This window comes from Homo sapiens, chromosome 3, assembly GCF_000001405.40.
Source record: "Homo sapiens chromosome 3, GRCh38.p14 Primary Assembly".
In the NCBI taxonomy this organism is placed as follows: Eukaryota; Metazoa; Chordata; class Mammalia; order Primates; family Hominidae; genus Homo; species Homo sapiens.
Window position 1 is genome coordinate 66692736 of NC_000003.12, and position 6720 is coordinate 66699455.

At 43.8% G+C, this 6720-nt stretch overlaps 1 annotated feature.

Annotated features, from left to right (window-relative positions):
* Positions 2132–2301: an enhancer, noted in NCBI's record as "experimental_70957 CRE fragment used in MPRA reporter constructs". NCBI's record gives its function as "activates a minimal promoter by MPRAs in K562 erythroleukemia cells, with activity observed for the non-introgressed 3:66745376 variant allele {active_cell/tissue: K562}" and the evidence as "EXISTENCE:reporter gene assay evidence [ECO:0000049][PMID:34662402]".

The following is a 6720-nucleotide window of genomic DNA, read 5'->3' on the forward strand; positions in this document are numbered from 1 at the left end:
CAATATGCACCTCGCACAAAGGGCTTTGCACTTCCTGAAGTTGTTCTGCACTCACGATTTCACTGGCCCCTTTTTCACATGTGGATGAGGGAGACGAGGAAACTCAGGCCAGGCAGAGTTTCTGCTTAGCACTAGGGTGAAAGGATAAGATTTGGAATCAGTGGGCTCGCACTTAAGTTTTTGCTCTGCTTTTCTAGCTGTATGGCCCTGGGCAAGTTACCAAACTTCTCCGCGCTTGTTATGTCTTATTTGTGAAATGTGGCTAATACAGACTCAAAAGGTTATACTCTATGATTTCATTCCTATGACATTTTAGAAGAAGAAAATCTCTATCAGAGGTTTCCAAGGGTCAGGGCTGGGCTGAGAGAAGGCCTGCCTACAAATCTTTAGCACAAAGGAAAGTTCTGAGGTGACAACGGTTCCGCATGTTCATCATGGTAGTTAGGAAAACCCAGAAGTAACTGTACAGCAAAAACAAAAAGTGAATTTTACTGAATGTAAATTCAGAACTATTTATCCGATAAAAAAATAACTAGACTAAAAAAAACTCCTCTCTGGAAGGTTGCTGTGGCATTTGAGTTTATACAGTAAACAGCAGGGAAACAACTGAAACCTACTTCTTGATATTCCTACTCTGGTATTTCTAGGTCTGCCACTGCCAAATAGAAGCATAGGAAATGGAATCAACCAAATTTAATTTCAACTCTCAAAAGCAGTGAAGAGGAAAGAGGCTCATGATCCAGGGCTGGAACTGGAATGCTGATGTGGTGACAGCTGAGAACAGGTGGGAGATGGGAACTGGCAAACTAATCTGTACGTGACTCTCCCTGCACGGTGAATTTACCACTAAGAGAGTTTGCAAACCTTCTCCCTGTCCTCTCTGCTTGTCCGTGGTGTTCTTCAGTGTACCCCAGCCCCAGCTCTTCCTTGCCCCACTGACTCTAAACTTTCTCACCGTTTCACACAGATCTAGTTGTGTCTTGGTTATTTGTTTCAGGCACGCTGCCAGCTGGCATGCTCTGTCTACTGCTACAGAAAACAAATCTCTCCTCCATTTCTCATGTGTTACCAGCCTAACAAATACACTACTGTCTATGTTTTACACTGATTCGTGCAAATGACCTGGCTCTTTTCACGCGGAGTGCTTTCTGCAGGCTGGGATTTAAAAAAGATGGTGTGGTCCTCTGCCTGGGCAAAGAGTATTTTTAGCCGCTAGGTTTTAGTTAATTACACTAGCTGTTGCTCATCATGGCTCTTGGTTTCTTTTGTGTTGCTGAGGGGAGCGGGGTCAGCTTCTGAATCTAAAGCATGTGGCTTTGAAACATAAGTAAATCTTTCTTCAGGGTCCCAGCTCTAGTTCTCAGGGATTTCCTCATTGCATTTTCATTTTTAGGATGTTCTGAGGTTGTTTTTTTTCTTTTTTCTTTTTTTTTTTTTTGAGCCTGTCACCCAGGCTGGAGTGCAGTGGCACCATCTCGGCTGACTGCAAGCTGCGCCTTCCGGGTTCACCCCATTCTCCTACCTCAGCCTCCCAAGTATCTGGGACTACAGGCGGCCGCCACCGCGCCCAGCTAATTTTGTTTTTTTTTTAGTAGAGACGAGGTTTCACCTTGTTAGCCAGGATGGTCTTAATCTCCTGACCTCGTGATCCACTCGCCTCGGCCTCCCAAAGTGCTGGGATTACAGGCGTAAGCCACCGTGCGCATCCATGTTCTGAGTGTTTTTGATGCGTTTGTGGTGGGATGCGAGGAGAGAAGTGGTTTCCTCCTCACACCTTGGGTTCTTTTCTATCTTTGCTTGGGAAATTGGCTTTTATTTGCTTTGTAGCCTCTCCTCTCCTTCCTGTTAAGAAAGTGATTATCCATGCACAAAATGGAAAGTTTTCAGGCTCAAGCATGCTTGTGAAGGGGAGTTGGAGATTTGGAATTGTTTTGGTGACCTCCAGGAATAAAACTAGGAAATTCAAGGGAGCTGGTTTGTGAAGGCTTCTAATTAGAAGTGCCCTCAAATGCCTTCATATGTAGTGATGTCCCTATCAACAGAGGCATTCGAAAGGAGGCTGGAGGGCCACTTGCTGAGGATACTTGAGAGAAGCTTTATGCATCCTAGAGGGGTTGGTGCTTTCAGAGTTCTCCTAAGCTCAAGCCTCTGTGATTCCACATGACTCCTTAACTTGGAAAGTAAGACACAGACACAGAAAGGGCATACAATCAACCTTTTCTGGAAATAGGTTAAAACAGTGTAGGGGCCAGGTGGAATAACTCACACCTATAATCCCAGCACTTTGGGAGGCTGAGGCAGGAGGATTGCTTGAGTCCAGGAGTTTGAGACCAGCCTGGGTAATAGAGTGAGATCCAATCTAAACGACACACACGCGCGCGCGCACACACACACACGCGCCTGGGCAACATGGCAGAACCCCGTCTCTACAAAAAGACAAAAATTAGCCGGGCATGGTAGCGTACGTCTGTAGTTCTGGCTACTCAGGAGGCTGAGGTGGGAGCATCACTTGAGCCTGGGAGGTGGAGGTTGCAGTGAGCCAAGATTACACCACTGCACTCCAGCCTAAGGGACACAGTGAGACCCTGTCTCAAAAAAAAAAAAAAAAAAAAAAAAGAAAAAAGAAAAGAAAAGAAAACCTGAAACTAACAAAAAACAGTACTGGGCTGGATATCTTCTGTCTGTCTTTCTTGCTTGTTCTACTTTCCATCCTTTTAGATTTTTCCGTGTCCTGAGAGGCTGACACATATGGGTCACTTCAACAGGCTCCTGTGCCCTCTGGCTTCCAGGGGATTTCAGCCACTGGGGAACCCAGGAAGATGATCGGAGGGGAGGTGGACAGTGAGGTCGGGGATTTTTCTCATCTCTTTCTCTATGGATTTGGGACATGGTGGGTAAAATATCTCTCTCTCTCTCTCTCTCTCTCTCTCTCACTCTCTCTCCCGTTTCTATCGCCTTCCCTGTCTCAGTTCCACTTCCTTCTCATGTCTTTTCAGGCCTAGGGATAGTGAAACTCTCAACTTATTCAGTGTGAGTAGGCCATCTCTTTCTTGGCAAGACCCTGCCTGACACAAATATTCAACACCTACTCTGTGCAATGGAAAATATGGCATAGTTCTTTCCCTCAAGTGCTTTCCAGGATGGTTATGGAGATAGGATGAAAATCTTGGGAGAGGAAACAGATACATTTTTGTTGTGGTGGCTTTTGACACCATGGGCTCTGTAATCCTAGGACATAAGAACTGTGCCTATATACATGAGCTAACCAGACGAAATTCTGCTAAAAATCAAACAGACCAACGTTTCCATGAATTCGATCAAATAAATGTCTTATTTCTTGGCTTTCTGACAAAGAATTGACCGAATATTCCTTCTGGATGAGCTGTTTCAGCATAGTCTTCAGACATGGCCTCTGGCAGCATTTGTGGAATGACAAAGTTAACTTTGGGGGAATGACACACAATGGGGACCAGTGGTTTCTGGCAACCCCGGTGTGATCTGGGAGGGTCAGGATCAGAGGATGCATGTTGCAGCTGGAGCCCAGGATAAGGTTAGTATATCACACTGTGGGACCCACAGAGCTGCCTGGTCACAAAACAGAAGGAGTCTGAATTTCCCCAAGAAGAGGGAGGCGCCTGCAGAATCATTAGTAGGAACAGAAAGCCAGTGCCCCTTCTGGGAGGAGTGAGCGGGGAAGAAAAATGTCCTCATGTATTCATGAAAAGACAAAGATGCACACAAGGCTTCACCTTTATACCCCACTTTATGGAAATGGGCAAAGTGGTTTGTACATAGAGCACAAAAAATTGCGCACGGGTAGCTTTGACTTTCTGTCACAAACTCTCAGTTTTCCTTTAAACTAAAATGTGTCAAGTCAGGGGCTGTGCTGCATTTGTTCACCTTATCTCCAGGTCTTAACACAGTATCTGATCCACAGAAAGTGTTTAGTGAATCATTGTGGAATGAAGGTAGAATTGCTACGTCTTCCTTCATCTAAAGCAACATTTCTCTTATTCATCAAATTGTACGATTTTAACTCCCCATCTCTCATCATTTCTCCTCCTATTTCTAAGGAGTTCTACCTCCTATGCAAAGTCTGAGAATCCCAGGGGTGTTCACTGGCATAAGTGAGTACTGTCCTCTACAAAGAAGATCTTGGAAAATATCATTGATCTATCCGTGATGCTCATGTTGTGCTACTGTTGTTATTGCTGCCACATAGTATGGCTCTTGAGAGCAAAGGTCCAGAAATGTGGGGTAGTCTTGGACCACAGAGAAAAATTTTCCAGGTATCCATTGCTGGCCCAGTAGCAATCTTGCTTGGTCTTAGAAATGGGGAAATAGGCCGGGTGCAGTGGCTCACGCCTGTAATCCCAGCACTTTGGGATGCTGAGGTGGGCGGATCATGAGGTCAAGAAATCAAGACCATCCTGGACAAACATGGTGAAACCCCATCTCTACTAAAAATACAAAAATTAGCTGGGTGTGGTGGCACGCCCCTGTAGTCCCAGCTACTCAGGAGGTTGAGGCAGGAGAATCACTTGAACCAGGGAGGCACAGGTTGCAGTGAGCTGAGATTGCGCCATTGCACTCCAGCCTGAGCGACAGAGCGAGACTCCATCTCAAATAAATAAATAAATAAATAAATAAATAAAAAAGAAATAGGGAAATAAAGGCTTTCTCTCCCTTGGTTAAATTCATCATAATCTATTCTACACAAACTAGAAGAGCGCTAGACCCTTCTTTCCTGGTCACTTTCTATCTCCTAACCCTGTTTCCTTCATGGTACTTATGACTAGTTGAAACTATATTTATTTGTTATTTATCCTGTCTCTCCTTCTCTAGAAGCTAAGCCCTGTGGGAGTAGGGAACAACAGTATCCCCAGCACCTAGAATGTTCTGGGCACATGGTAGGTACTTAGTAGGCTTTGCTGAAGGATTGAATGAAGGATAGGTCACTTCATATTGGGGTATGGGCTCCCAATAATATATGTAATTCTTTAATATACAGCTCTTTTAATATGTGGGCACTCACACATTCTTACTCCAAGACAATGTTTGGATAAGGAGGGATTGCTAACTTGCAGCCACATATCATGTTCAGAACTAACCTACCCCTCCGTGGAAAACATAATCCTGCTTTGAGGTGAATCAACGAGCAAGTTATGGTGAAATTTCTCCTGTGCTCCCTGGCCTCATCTGATCCATCCTAGTCTATCAGAAATACTATATAAAGCAGAACCTCAGAAGGTAAGAGGTATCACTGCTTTTTCCCAAGATTCCCATTGATCCTTAAGTCAGAGATGACTACTTGTCTACCAAAACCATTTCGCTAACTTTCTGCACCCAAGGTGGACTGACTACCTTTCCCATCCTCACATGCAGAGAAATGTCTCTGTGACAGTCCTACTCAAGGTAATGTGGGCAGAAGTGATGTCCATGGTGAAAATTCTTTTCTTTGAGTCTACGAGACTGAGAGGATCTGGCAAAAGCCACAGGGCATGGTGGATCCAAGATAGAGCTTGGATCTCTGATGCTGTCCTCCTGAACATTAATTTTTATGTGAGTGAGAAATAGAACAATTGACTTGAGCCACTGAGATGTTCAGATTTATCTGCTATGGCAGGTAGGTAGTTGCCCTAATACAGTTCCTACAGAAATTTATCCCCTACTCCATTAGTATTCTAGGAGCTTTACAGAACAGGAGACATGGGGGAATGCTAGTCTTAAGCCATTACAAAGAGGCTTTACTTGCCTTACATCTGCTAACTCCAAAGGGCCAATCAGATTCTCCCCAAGAAAAGAAAATGTGAGTGGATGTTTCCACCACTACAAACAGAAGCTTCTGGAAATGTCTACATGAAAAAAATTTTTTTAAATCTCATTGGCACCTCACTGCTAATGAACAAAAGTACACACATTTTAGTGATGGAAATACCTGCTGTGGGATGAAACTGTATGATGTAGCAGAAAGCATTTTCGGACCAAGAGACTTAAAACCTATTTTTAATCCTTATGGTTCTGTCTTAACAAGCTGCATGAAGCTTGGACCCCTCTCTTTACCTCTCCAGGCTTCATGTGGTATTAAAAATGATCCATGAAGGTAAAACACATTAAATGGTTCAGGTTTTGTATACTGTAATGGGATGGGTAATTCAATTCAACAAACCTTGATTAAGATATGTTGGAGATGGTTGATCTAAATGAGATAAGATGTCTGGGAGCAGTGGCTTATGCCTGTAATCCAAGCACTTTGGGATGCAGAAGTGGGTGGATCACCTAAGGCCAGGATTAGCTGGGCATGGTGGCGCATGCCTGTAATCCCAGCTACTCAGGAGACTGAGGCAGGAGAATCGCTTGAACCTGGGAGGCGGAGATTGCAGTGAGCCAAGATCATGCCATTGCACTTAAGCCTGAGTCACAGAGTGAGACCTCATCTCAAAACAAAATAAAATAAAAATAAAATAAAATAAAATAAATAAGATCAGACATAGTCTGACCCCCAAGATCTTCCAGTCTACTGGAGGAAACAGATAGTTGAATGACAAACTGTAATCCCTAATAAGCTGAAATAACAGCAAACTATCAGCAATGCAATCTGGGTGTGTAAAAGCAGTGATTACTTTTGACCTGGAGAATGAAAAAGGCTTTAACAATATTCCTAATGTTCTTAAGAAAATGGGTAAATTTTCTAAACAGGACTTACAAAGACATGTATGA